We start from the raw sequence: 15,314 nt of genomic DNA on the forward strand, positions 1-15,314 counted from the left end.
GATTGGAATTGACATTAATAGACTAATGCAAGGGTGAAATTTGGCTTTACTTCAACAAGATCATCATGCAATGAAAGATTTTTGTTTCCTTTGTGAATAAACTACTGACAAAAGGGATGGGCCGTCAAACTCTAAATAGTCATGCAAAGTGGTCATGCAAATGGAGCCTCAGATGATGGCTCCCTTTTACTGGGGACCCTTAGATAAGCCTCTAAGAGAGACCTGACTGTCGTTTTCCCAAAACAATGCCCCTTGTTAGCATGGGGCAGTTAAAAGCAGTCATTGTTCCTATCCTAACAGTGGTTAGGTGTACCTCTTCAGAGGGGGAATTGATGGCAGTAGCTGCTGCCATCACACCAGCTATAGCAAGGAGGCATGGGTGGGGCTGCACACCCCATGAAGCTGGGGGGAGCCCTGCCCCTTCTGAGTTGAGGTGGGAACTTCCTGGGTGCCACTGCAGCCACCCAAACTGTGGCTGCAAACCCAAGCCTCCTGCACTGGACAGCAGGGAGGAGCCCCACCCTACTGGGCAGGACTACCACCACCCAAACTGCAGCTGTGGATTTGAGTCTTCCTGTGCTCTTGGAGCAGGCAGAATTTGCCCTCCTGGGTGAAGCTGCACCCACCTGACCTGCTGCTGAAGAATCCGGCCTCCTGCCCCACAGAGCGGGCAGAAGCTGGAGACAAGCAAGAACTCCATCCTTTCCAAGTTGGTGGGGTGGGAGCTTCCCTGATGCAGCTGTGGCTGCCCTCCCAGGTACAGGACCTGGGCATCTTTGCAGCATGCATCCTTAGGGGCCTGGGAAGGGCCCCTCATCCCTGCTGCCTTGGGGATGTCTGCTCCTGCTGCCTGGCTTCTCTCCTCTCCTTGTACCTGCTCTGATTTCAGAGTGGGGTTTGGGCCGAGCCCCAGGGCTTGGGCCTTGAATGGCAGTGGGAGGCAGAGTCCTGGGCAGAAGGGGATGAGTCCTCAGTCAGGCACACCTTCAGGCCAGGGAGGGCCTGAAAGCTGGGGACCGGGTTGCTGGTCCCATGAACTGCAATGTGGACTTGTGATGCCTATTCTGGGCCCACCCATGGCTGCCCATGGCTTCCCATGGACTAGTCGACATGCACTTCCTTCCCTCTGAGGTCCATAAAAGCCCTGGGCTCAGCTAGAGCAGGGCAGAGGATGGTCAGAGGATTAACAGGGCAGAGAGATGATGGGACCACCAGCTACAGAGAGGAACTACCCTCTCTGCTGATAGCTGGAGGTGATGGAAAATCCAGTTGCAGAGAGGAGCTACCCTGTTTGTTGAGAGCTGCAGAGACAACCTGCCCACACGGAGGAGCTACCCTCTCCAGGGCCTCCTCTTTGCCAAGAATGGCAGACATCATGACAGCCAGTTGCAGTGAGGAGCTGCACTCTTCAGGGCTTCCTCTCTGCTGAGAACTGAACAAATGATGGATAACCTGCCTACAGAGAGGAGCTACCCACTGAGGGTCTCCTCTGAGCTGTTGTAACACTCAATAAAGCTCATCTTCCTCTTGTTTACCCTTTACCTGTCTGCATACCTCATTCTTCCTTGATGCAGGACAAGAACTTGAACAAAGGCGCCCTAGTCACAGAAGTTTCTGATCAGAAAATTGACACTCTAATGGTGCCCTAACAATTATGTAATTATTGATTTATTTCAGCTAACACCCTACTGGTTATAGCAACAGATGCAAAATATGGTAAATTAATTTGTAAAAGATCAATGTAAAGTATTATGTCTTCATGTTGTGACTGATCTTAGCCCACTTGATCATGTGAGTTATTAGTGATAATAAAATGTTCTCAGAATTTCAAATATTAATGAAAAAGGGAATCTTGTAAAGTAAGCTTATTTCTATCAAAAAAATTTGGTGAGCTGGGTGTGGTGGCTCATGCCTGTAATTCCAGCACTTTGGGAGGCCGAGATGGGCAGATCCCAAGGTCAAGAGATCGAGACTATCCTGGCCAACATAGCGAAATCCAGTCAACAAAAATTAGCTGGGCATGGTGACACGCACTTGTAGTCCCAGCTACTCAGGAGGCTGAGGCAGGAGAATCACTTGAACCTGGGAGGCGGAGGTTGCAGTGAGCTGAGATTGCACCACTGCACTCCAGTCTGGTGACAGAGTGAGACTCCATCTCAAAAAAAAAAAAATTGGTGAAATAGATTACCAACCAATTATGCAATTACACTATTCTGATTCCATTGTAGTTGGGTAAATAATTAAATTGCTTGAGTGTTTTGTTTATTTGGGACTTTGTGTATTGAAGTAACTCAATGTTTTTTTGTTTTTTGTTTGTTTGAGACAGAGTCCTGCTGTGTTGCGCAGGCTGGAGTGTAGCAGTGCGATCTTGGCACAGCTTCAAATTTCAAGGAACAAGAAAGCTACCATAGCAAAATGTCTTATTCCCATCTAAATTTTCCTTGGCTCATCCAGACACAGTACTGATAAATAAATAAAAATTGTTCTCTTCATTCCTCTGATCCAAGGATGGAATAATAAGAATTGTACTCTGTGGAATTTTTAAGAACCTAGAACAATAACCACCCTACATTAACCGAGAGACATTTTACACCATAGAACTGAATGTACGTCACATTATACTTTTGCAGGCTAAGAAGACAGCATCAGAGTTAATGTCTGTTAGTTAAGATTCAGTATGTAACTGGATATACTTATATGATAACTATAAACATATATATTAACATAAATTTATCATAACCATATATATTCAATAAGCATAGATGAATCCTACAATCTTTTAAATATTCAGGTTTTATAATTTCACAAAACCTTACTTGATATTCCAACTCACAATTCTTATTGTGCATAGATGAGGATTTTCAAACATTTTTGTGCTCACTGTTATCAGTGAAAACATTTTTTAACATATACATCAATATATAAAAATATATGATATAGACATATTCTATGGTAAATCATGTCATATCCAAAAATAAGACATAAAAGGAAAGATTAATTTATTTCAAAATTTATGTTTTTGTATTAAAAAATCTTGCTGCACAGAAATATTAGTAATTGGAAGAATAGATAAATAAAACAAAACCCAACAGTATGTGGCTTACAAGAGACTTAATTATAAGAGCACAGAAAGATGTAAAGATTAATGATTTAAATGAAAAGGATGTACTATGCAAACACAAATCAACATAAGGACAGTGCAGTTGCAGTCAGTCCATTAAGAAAATATGGCAATTATAAATTGTATATACCTAATAAAATAGTTTCAAGGTTTACAAGCAAAAAGGAACAGAACTATTTCATCTCAATAGGCTAAGCGGTAATCACATTGTTTACATTTGATATATATATACATATATACACATATATATGTATGTAAAATATACTACAAATAACAATAACAGAAAATACTTCAATTTCAAGTGTACATGTATGCTTCACCAGAACTGACCATATCTTTAGACCATTAAGCATGTCTTAACAAATTTAAAAGCTTGAAATCATAATGAACATGTTGTCTGGCCATAATAGAATGAGAAAGATGACTAGAAAACATATAATTACTTTAAAATAAAGCCACACATCTCTAAGTAAGCTATGGATAAAAGAAGAAATCTCAGTGGAAATCAGAAAATGCTTCAGAATGAATGAAATGGAAATAGCAACATTCAAATCTGTGAAATGCAGCAAAAGCCATGCTTGAGGGAAAATTAATAACCTTAACTATATTCATTAAATAAAAGGAAATGCTGTAAAATTAATGATTTAAGCATCTAGCTCAATAATTTAGAAAATAAACAGAAAATGAAACCTGAAAGGAAGACGAAAATAAAAATCAGAAGAGACATTAATGAAACCTAAAATGACATTATGATAGAGAAAATAAACATGTACAACTATTTTTAGAGAAGACTAATACTATAATTAATCCCTAGTAAGACTGATCCATAAAAAAGATAAAACACAGATGTCAAAAATGAAAACGGGAACATAACTATAGAACCTACAGATATTTCAAAAGTAATGTGAGAATATTATTAACACTCTTGTGCCAATGTATTTTAAAATTCAGATGAAATATGATGTTCTCTTCAAAACTGTATTCAGTAAAACCAACATAAGAAGAAAAAGAAAATCTGGGGAGTAATACATTTATTAAAGTAATTGAATCTGTAATAAAAACCTTACTACAGAAAAATCAAGACTGAAGTGGCAACAGCAATGAGTTTTTCCAACTACTTAAGAAATAATTAACAACAATTTTACATAAACTCTTCCAAGAAATAGAAAAAGAAACTTTCCAACTCCATTTGAAAGACCATCAAAACCTGTATATCAAAACCAGAAAATGACATTATAAAAAACAAAAATACCAGACCACTCTCTCTCATAAATATAGATGCAAAAATCCCCAAACAAATTATTAGTATATTAAATACCGTAATTGTGTTACTTTTCTATTGCTCTAACAAATTATCACACTTAGAGACTTAAAACTACATACATTTATTTTCTATCAGTTTCTGTGGACCAGGAATCTAGACATGGCTAAACTGGCTCCTCTGCAAAGCCAAAATCAGTGTGTTGGCCAGGGCTGCAGTCTCTTCTGGAGACTCAACTGGTGGCAGATTCACATCCAAACTTATTCAGATCATTGGAAGCATTTATTTTCTTGCAGTTGTAAGATTGAGGGTTCTAGCTTTTTGCTGGCTGTTGGCCAGAGGCACTCTCAGCTCTTAGAAGCTACCTGGTCTCCCACATAGTCTCTCTTACAACACTGAAACTTGCTTCTTCAAAGATGACAAATCAGAAAGTTAGTTGACTAGCAAGACAGAAACTTATAATTACAGGAGTAACATTCAATCACCTTTGCCATATTCTATTGTTTAGAATCAAATAATCTATCCTGCCAAAACTAAAGAGGAAGGGATTGACTATATAATGGTATGAACACTAGGAGGTGGGTATCATGAGGACCACATTACAGTTTATGTGACACAGTAACATGAAATAATTATAAATTATGACAATATTCAGTTTAAGAAATGCAAGATTGGTTTGTATTTGAAAGTAAATCCAATGTAATTGGTTTCATGAGATAAATCATATAAACATCTCAATATATGGCAAAAAATCTGATGAAATTTGTCACCCTTCCATGATTTTTTAAAACACCTTTAAGAAAGCTAGTAAAAGAAGGAAACTTTAATCTTAAAAAAGTCTACAAAACAAACAAATCAAACTACAAAAGTTATTACAATTAGCAGTAAAATATTTAGACTTTCTTTTCCGAGATAAAAAGACAAGAATGCCTGCTATCACCATTTCACTCGTGATCTCATTCTGTATTAAAAATTACCACAAAACTTAGCCAGTTAAAACAGCAAACATTTATCATCTCACTGTTTCTGTGGGTCAGGAACCTATGAACACCTTAGTTGGGTGGTTCTGGCTCAGTACGCCTCATGAGGTTGCAATTGAGCTGTCAGTGAAGTCTGCTGTCATCTGAAGCTTCAACTGAGACTGGAGTATTCATTCCCAAATTCACTTGGGTGGTTGTTGGCTGTCTAGTCCTGAGTCTCCTCAGGACTTGGCAAGTGGCCCCGTTCAGAGCATGTGATCGAAGAAAAAAAAGAGGGCCCAAGATGAAAGCTGCACTTTTCTATAAATCTCCAAGTGGATGTCATAACATACTGTATTCTATTGGTCACACAGCCAAACCCTGATACCATGTGGGAAAGGAGTATGCAAGGGTCCAGGAGAAAGGGAGGCATGCAGAACCATTTTGGAGGCTGGTTACTAGAAACACTGTTCTGGAGTCCTAGCCAGTGCAATAAGGAATGAAAAAATAAACAGTTATATAGATTATATTTATGATAATATAGTCAAAACCATGACTGCCACTAACAAAATAGATTGTGTTCAAAAACCATGAGGGAGCATTTTGGAGGTGATGGAAATGTTCCAGAACTTGATTTAAGAGTTGATTATCCAGGTGTATACATTTGTCAAAACTTACCAAGTGTACAATTGAGAACTATATATTTTACTGTTTGCAAACAATACTTTAATAAAATAAAATGCTTACAATGGAATAAGCATTTGTTTGTTTTGCAAATTCTTACCTTTACCTTATAAAGTGGATTGATTTTACATCATTTTTTCAGTTTCTAAAAAATTTGTATATTATCTGTTTTATGGAAATTGATGAAACTTGGTATAAAACCACCTTGACATGGTATTTGCTCGAGGAGATATTTGAGAACCAATTTAATTTCATCAATATTTCTTTATTCCAGTTCTGTGAAATACCTATCCATGCCTCACACAATTTTTATGATTTGCTATAAACCCATTACATCTACATTTTTGAATTTATTGGTGTTAGTTTAACGTTCTCAAGAATTTGAAAGATCTCTGCACTACATATAGTCATGTTACCTTTTTCTTGCTCAAAATATTTTGCATTTGTGAAACCTTTACTTGCTGTCAGTATTGGAAGACACTTGTATACTCTACTGTTATTTGTTTTATTGATTAATGCTATTGCTTTTTACTGTATCACTAATTTCTGTCCTTAACATTTCTTCCCTTTATTTTGGGGAGGTTTATTCTCATGCTTTACTAGCCTCAAGTTAAACACTCATCTCTTTTCTTTTAATAACATATTGCTCGTAATTAATATATTCAATGATATATATTTTTCTAAGAAATATTTTGCATCATCCCACAACATTAATAAATTGTATTTCAGTCGTAACTCAGTTCTAAATACTTAATGATTTCCTTTTTTAACACTTGAATTAATTAGGTGTGAGATTCAAATATATATACGTATATATTTTAATATATACGTATATATATTAGACTATATATTTGTTTTCTTATTTATAATTACATTTTTATGGTAAGAGAATAATTTACAAAAATTGGTTCTTTGGAAATCAAGAGCACTTCTGTGGCATAATATATATGCAATTCATAGAAATCTTTAATGCATGATTTAATAGAATGTATTTTCTCTATTCTTGCTTCCACTTCTTTGCTATTATGAATAGTGTTTCTATGAGTATATGTATATATATTAATGTATGTATATAAAAGTTCTGTGGTAAATAACTAGGAATGTGATTGCTGGATGATAAGGCTTCCACATGCCCTGTTTGACTACACAATTTTAAACTGTTTACAAAAAAAGTTTTTACTTCCTGTTTGTCCACATTCTAACTTTATTTTCTTTACTTTTTTTTTTTACATATTTAATAAACATAAAATTGCATTTAATTGTAATTTCATTTTGTTTCATTTTGGGGGGGTGGGTTTTTTTATTCTGAGATAGGGTCTCACTCTGTTGCCCAGGCTGGAGTGCAGTGGTGCGATCTCAGCTCAACGCAACATCCGCCTCCTGGGTTCAAGCGATTCTCCCACCTTAGCCTGTGAAGTAGCTGGGACTACAGGCACATAGCACCATGCCTGGCTAATTTTTGTGTTTTTTTTGGTAGAGACAGGGTTTCACCATGTTGGCCAGGCTGGTTTCAAACTCCTGAAACCAGGGGTTTCAGCCCCCCACCCCACAACAGGCCCCGGTATGTGATGTTCCCCTCCCTGAGTCCATGTGTTCTCATTGTTCAACTCCCACTTATGAGTGAGAACATGAAGTGTTTGGTTTTCTGTTCCTGTGTTAGTTTGCTGAGAATTATGGTTTCCAGCTTCATCCATGTCCCTGAAAAGGACATGAACCCATCCTTTTTTATGGCTGCATAGTATTCCATGGTGTATACGTGCCACATTTTCTTTATCCAGTCTATCATTGATGGGCATTTTGCTATCCCCATCAAACTACCATTGACTTTCTTCACAGAATTAGAAAAAACTACTTTAAATTTCATATAGAACCAAAAAAGAGCCCACATAGCCAAGACAATCCTAAGCAAAAAGAACAAAGCTGGAGGCATCACACTACACAACTTCAAACTATACTACAAGGCTACAATAACCAAAACAACATGGTACTGTTACCAAAACAGATACATAGACCAATGGAACAGAACAGAGGCCTCAGCAATAAGACAACACATCCACAACCGTCTGATCTTTGACTAAGCTCTTCTTATTAGATATGACATAAATATCTAGTTCCAGTTTGTATAATGTCTTTTTGCTTTCTTTTTAATGGAAAAATGTTTTTAGTGTTAATAGTCTTATTTCTAAAAGTTTTCATTTACATTTTACACTTTGTGTTTATTTTAAAAATCCATCTCTTAATCTATTTATTGAGATAATAAGCACATTCTTTTATATTGCTTTGCTTTTTAAATTTTATTTTGATATAATTTTATATTATATAAACAATTATCAATAAAAGGAAATTAACATTGTTTCCATACTATTGTCAAAACTACAGATTTCATCAGTTGACCCAAGGATGTCCTTTATTACAAAAAAGAAATCCTGGGTCATGTGTGGCATTCAGTTGTCACCTTCCTTTAGTTACCTTAATTTGGACTAGTTCCTCAGTCTTTTTTTTCCTTCTAAATTTAACTGTTTTGACTTACCCATTTAAGTTTTTAATTTATCTGAAAATGACTTTTGTACAAAGTGTAGGGAAAGCATACTATTTTCTTCCATATATATGTAATCAATTGTTCCATCACTATTTACTGAAGAGTGTTTCCTTTACCTAATGGCCTGCAATGTTTGCTCTTTCATAAATCAAGTTCCATAGACATGAGGATTATATTTAAATATCTTCATTCTCCTATTTTATCCCTGAACAAATTCCCTTCCCTGAACAAATTCCATGCAATCTTATAACTTAATATTTATAATAAGACTTATTATACGGGAGAGCAATTTATCTAGCTTCTTCAAAAAGAAGCAATGTTAGTTGGGCATTTGCTTTTTCTGTATGACATTTTTAAAATTAGCAAGTCAAATTCCATAAAAAGCTTTGGAATTTTAATTAGTACTATGCTGAATTTAATTATAAATTTGGAGAGTTGGCATCTTTAAAATACTGAATCTTCCTACTCATTTACTTAGGGCTTTTTACATGTCTTTTAAAAAATGTTATAATTTTCCACATTAAGGCTAAGACATTTTTTGTTAGATTTATTTGTAAATACTTCTCATTTTAGTTGCAATTATATATTTTATCATTTATTTAATTGTTTTTCTGATTATTTTTTAAAAATAGAAATGCAATTGACTTTTGGCTGTTGATTATGTGCCCAACAAACTTTCTTAGCTCTGTCATGCATTTAATCATTTGTTTATGCATTCGAGTTTTCTCCATTGCCAATTGCATTATTTGCCAAACAATTCTTTTCTTTTCTTTACAATTCATATATATGTGACTCCTTGTCCTTACCTTACTTTATGGTTATTATGTCTACTACATTGTTAAAACATATCAGTAATGGCTGACAACCTTTGTTCTTTATCATAAAGTTTCAAAATTTCATCAAGTATGACATGTTCTCTAATTTATTTTAGGAGATACTCTTTGCAAGATTAAGAATTTTCTGGTAATAATTCCCTAAGAGTTTTTAGCATGAATGAATGTTGAGTTTTATCAAATAACTTTTCTGGATATATTCGGATTATTATTTTACCAGATATATCAGATTATTATTTTATCAATTAATTTACATTAATTCCTTTTTTATATTAAACCAACTTTACATCCAAGAACTACCACAGGAACATACCAGGAAAGCTAAGAGAACCCACAGACCCTTTGAAGGAACTGGATAGCCACGGCAGGCTCCCTGAGATGTGGAAAAACTGTGAGTCTGCCTACCCTTTATCAGCATGGAGGCCAGTGGTCTGGGGCAAGTCCTCAGTCCTGGCCACTGGCTGCCTGGAAATAGACTCCTTGCTGTTGGCAGGGGCACAGTGTGAGTGAGACTAGCTTTTAAGACTGTGGGCTGCATGGGAAAGGGGTGAGGCCTGTGACTGCTGGCTTTCTGCCACTTCCTTCGCAACCTATACGACTCAGCAGAGGGAGGCATAATCCTCCTAGGAACATAACTCCAATGGCCTGGGAACCATACCCCATTCCCCACAGCAGCCACAGCAAGCTCTGCCTAAGGAGAGTCTGAGCTCAGGCATGCTTATCCCTGGCCCCACCTGGTGTTCTTTCTCTACCTGCCCTGGTTGCTGAAGACAAAGGACATAATCTCTTGGAAACTGTATGACCCCTCCCACTCACTGAGAAACCAGAATACTTAACCAGGTGACCCTAGGGCAAGTCTACATCCTCCGTATTATACCATAGGTGATGCACTCTTTTTTTTTTTTTTCTATTATACTTTAAGTTTTAGGGTACATGTGCACAATATGCAGTCTTGTTACATATGTATACATGTGACATGTTGGTGTATTGCACCCATTAACTCGTCATTTAACATTAGGTATATCTCCTAATGCTATCCCTCCCCCCTCCCCCCACCCTACAACAGGCCCAGGTGTGTGATGTTCCCCTTCCTGTGTCCATGTGTTCTCATTGTTCAATTCCCACCTATGAGTGAGAACATGTGGTATTCGGTTTTTTGTCCTTGCGATAGTTTGCTGAGAATGATGGTTTCCAGCTTCATCCACGTCCCTACAAAGAACATGAACTCATCCTTTTTTATGGCTGCATAGTATTCCATGGTGTATATGTGCCACATTTTCTTAATCTAGTCTATCATTGTTGGACATTTGGGTTGGTTCCAAGTCTTTGCTATTGTGAATAGTGCCGCAATAAACATATGCGTGCATGTGTCTTTATAGCAGCATGTTTTATGATACTTTGGTTATATACCCAGTAATGGGATGGCTGGGTCAAATGGTATTTCTAGTTCTAGACCCCTGAGGAATCGCCACACTATCTTCCACAATGGTTGAACTACTTTACAGTCCCACCAACAGTGTAAAAGTGTTCCTATTTCTCCACATCCTCTCCAGCACCTGTTGTTTCCTGACTTTTTAATGACCACCATTCTAACTGGTGTGAGGTGGTATCTCATTGTGGTTTGGATTTGCATTTCTCTGATGGCCAGTGATGATGAGCATTTTTTCATGTGTCTTTTGGCTGCATAAATGAGAGCCAAATCATGAGTGAACTCCCATTCACAATTGCTTCAAAGACAATAAAATACCTAGGAATCCAACTTACGAGGGACGTGAAGGACCTCTTCAAGGAGAACTACAAACCACTGCTCAATGAAATAAAAGAGGATACAAACAAATGGAAGAACATTCCATGCTCATGGGAAGGAAGAATCAATATCGTGAAAATGGCCATACTGCCCAAGGTAATTTATAGATTCAATGCCATCCCCATCAAGCTACCAATGACTTTCTTCACAGAACTGGAAAAAACTACTTTAAAGTTCATATGGCACCAAAAAAGAGCCCACATTGCCAAGTCAATCCTAAGCCAAAAGAACAAAGCTGGAGGCATCATGCTACCTGACTTCAAACTATAGTACAAGACTACAGTAACCAAAACAGCATGGTACTGGTACCAAAACAGAGATATAGACCAATGGAACACAACAGAGCCCTCAGAAATAATGTCGCATATCTACAACTATCTGATCTTTGACAACCTTGACAAAAACAAGAAATGGGGAAAGGATTCCCTATTTAATAAATGGTGCTGGGAAAACTGCCTAGCCATATGTAGAAAGCTGAAACTGGATCCCTTCCTTACACCTTATACAAAAATTAATTCAAGATGGATTAAAGACTTAAACGTTAGACCTAAAACCATAAAAACCCTAGAAGAAAACCTAGGCAATACCATTCAGGACATAGGCATGGGCAAGGACTTCATGTCTAAAACACCAAAAGCAATGGCAACAAAAGCCAAAATTGACAAATGGGATCTGATTAAACTAAAGACCTTCTGCACAGCAAAAGAAACTACCATCAGAGTGAACAGGCAACCTACAGAATGGGAAAAAAATTTTGCAGTCTACTCATCTGACAAAGGGCTAACATCCAGAATCTACAATGCACTCTTGAAAGTGTCACCTCCTAGCTGGAGGTCAACCAACACAAAACCGGCAAACTAAACAATAATACAACCAAGGACCTTCACAGAGCTCACTTCACTCCTCTGCTATTTCCACCAGAGCAGGTGCTGGTATCCATGGCTGACAGACCTGAAGACAGATCACATCACAGGACTCTTTGTAGACACCCCCCAGTACCAGCCCAGATCCCGGTAGCTCTGCTGGGTGGATAGATCCAGAAGAGCAAAAACAATCACTGCAGTTTGGCTCTCAGGAAGTCCCTTCCCTAGGGGAAGTGGGAGAACACCACACTAAGGGAACACTCCGTGGGACAAAAGAATCTGAACAGCAGCCCTTGAGTCCCAGATCTTCCTTCTGACATAGCCTACCCAAGTGAGAAGAAACCAGAAAAACAATTCTGGTAATATGACACAACAGGGTTCTTTAACATGCCCAAAGATCACACCAGCACACCAGTGATGGATCCAAACGTAGACGAAATCTCTGAATTGCTAGAAAAAGAATTCAGAATGTTAATTATCAAGCTAATCAAGGAGGCACCAGAGAAAGGTGAAGTCCAACTTAAAGAAACCAAAAACATGATACAGGATATGAAAGAAAAAATCTTCGGTGAAATATATAGCCTAAATAAAAACCAATCACAACTCCTGGAAATCAAGGACACACTTAGAGAAATGCAGAAAGCACTGGAAAGTCTAAAAAATAGAATCAAACAAGATGAAGAAAAAACTTCAGGGCTCAAAGATGAGGCTTTTGAATTAACCCAATCCATCAAAAAAAATAATTTTAAAAAATGAACAAAGCCTCCAAGTTTGGGACTATGTTAGGCATCCAAACCTAAGAATAATTTGTGTTCCTGAGGAAAAAGAGAAATCTAAAAGTTTGGAAAACATATTTGAGGGAATAATCAAGGAAAACTTCCCCAGCCTTGCTAGAGATCTAAACATCCAAATATAGGAAACTCAAAGAACATCTGAGAAATTCATCTTGAAAAAATTGTGGCCTAGGCACATAGTTGCCAGGTTATCTAAAGTCAAGAAGAAGGAAGAATCTTAAGATTTGTGAGGCAAAAGCATCCTATAAAAAAAATTCTATCACAGTAACAGCAGATTTCTCAACAGAACCCCTACAAGCTAGAATTGCGGCCCTATTTTGAGCCTTCTGAAACAAAACAATTATCAGCCAAGAGTTTGTATCCAGTGAAACTAAGTTTCATACCTGAAGGAAAGATACAGTCTTTTCCAGACAAACAAATGCTGATATAATTCTCCGCTACCAACCCAGCACTATAAAAAATGCTAAAAGGAGCTCTAAATCTTGAGACAAATCTTCAGAATAAACCAAAATAGAACCTCCTTAAAGCATAACTCTTACAGGACCTATGTAACAATAACACAATGAAAAAAAACCAACAAGGTATTCAGGCAATAAATAATACAACGAATGGAATTAGTACCTCACATCTCAATACTAACATTGAATATAAATGGCCTAAATGCTCCCCTTAAAAGATATAGAATAGCAGAATGGATAAGAATTCACCAACCAAGTTTTTGCTATCTTCAGGAGACTCACCTAACACATAAGGACTCATATAAACTTCAGGTAAAGGGTGGAAAAAGATACTCCATGCAAAAAGACAACAAAACTGAGCAGGAGTAGTTATCTTTGTATCAGCAAAACAAACTTTAAAGCAACAGCAGTTAAAAAAGACAAAGAGGGACATTATATAATGATAAAAGAAAAGGACTAGTCCAACAGGAAAATATTACAATCATATATATATATATATATACACCTAACAATGGAGCTTCCAAATTTGCAAAACAATTACTACCAGACCTAAGAATTGAAAAAGATGGCAACACAATAATAGTGGGGGAATCTAATACTCCACTGACAGCAATAGACAGGTCATCGAGACAGAAAATCAACAAAGAAATAATGGACTTAAACTATAACAAATCTACTTAAAAGATACTTAAAGAACATTCTATCCAACAACTGTAGAATATACATTTTATTCATCAGTACATGGCATATTCTCCAAGGTAGACCATGTAATAGATTAAAAAACAAGTCTCAGTAAATTTAAGAAAATCAAAATTATATCAAGTACTCTGTCAGTGGAATAAAATTGGAAATCAACTCCAAAAGGAACCCTCAAAACCATGCAAATACATGGAAATTAAATAACCTGCTCCTGAATGATCATTGGATCAATAATGAAATTAAGATGGAAATTAAAAAATTCTTTGAACCAAATGATAATAGTGACAAAACCTATTCAAAACGTCTGGGATACAGCAAAAGCTATGCTAAGTGGAAAGTTCATAGCATTAAATACCTGCATCAAAAAGTCTAAAAGGGTACACATAGACAATCTAAGGTCACACCTCATGGAACTGGAGAAACAAAAACAATTCAAATTTAAACCAGCAGAAAAAAAAAGAAATATTAAAGATCAGAGCAGATATAAATGAAATTGAGAGAAACAAACAAAAATACAAAAGATAAATGAAACAAAAAGCTGGTTCTTTGAAAAGATAAATAAAATTGATAGACATTTAGCAAGAATAATCAACAAAAAAAGAGAGAAGCTCCAAATAAGCTCAATTAGAAATTAAATGGGTGATACTACTACTGATACCACAGAAATACAAAAGATTATTCAAGGCTACTTTGAACATCTTTACATGCATAAACTAGAAAACCTACAGGAGATGGAAAAATTTCTGGAAATATGCAACCCTCTTAGATTAAACCAGAAATATATAGAAACTCTGAATAGACAAATAACAAGCAGTGACATTGAAATGGTAACAAAAAAACAATTGCCAACAACAAAAAAAGCCTGGGAACAGACAGACTCACAGGTGCATTCTATCAGACATTCAAAGAAGAATTGGTACCAATCCTATTGACACTATTACAAAAGACAGAGAAAGAGGGAATCCTCTCCAACTACTTCTGTGAAGCCAGTATCACCCTAATAAAGGATGTAACAAAAACAGGAAACTACAGACCAATATCCCTGAAGAACATAGATGCAAAAATTCTCAACAAAATACTGGCTTACTGAATCCAACATCATATCAAAAAGATAATTCACCATAATCAAGTAGGTTTCATACCAGGGATGCAGGGATAGTTTAACACCCAAAAGTCAATAAATGTGATGCACCATATAAATGGAATTAAAAACAAAAATCACATAATATAAATAGATGCAGAAAAGCATGAGACAAAATCCAGCATCCTTTTATGATTAAAACCCTCAGCAAAATT

General features: G+C 36.6%; 1 annotated feature.

Moving 5' to 3' along the window:
• Positions 209-710: an enhancer, noted in NCBI's record as "H3K4me1 hESC enhancer chrX:92436007-92436508 (GRCh37/hg19 assembly coordinates)". NCBI's record gives its function as "activates a minimal SCP1, AML or CMV promoter by ChIP-STARR-seq in naive H9 embryonic stem cells {active_cell/tissue: H9 hESC(naive)}" and the evidence as "EXISTENCE:reporter gene assay evidence [ECO:0000049][PMID:30033119]".

Source organism: Homo sapiens, chromosome X, assembly GCF_000001405.40.
Source record: "Homo sapiens chromosome X, GRCh38.p14 Primary Assembly".
Classification (NCBI taxonomy): domain Eukaryota; kingdom Metazoa; phylum Chordata; class Mammalia; order Primates; family Hominidae; genus Homo; species Homo sapiens.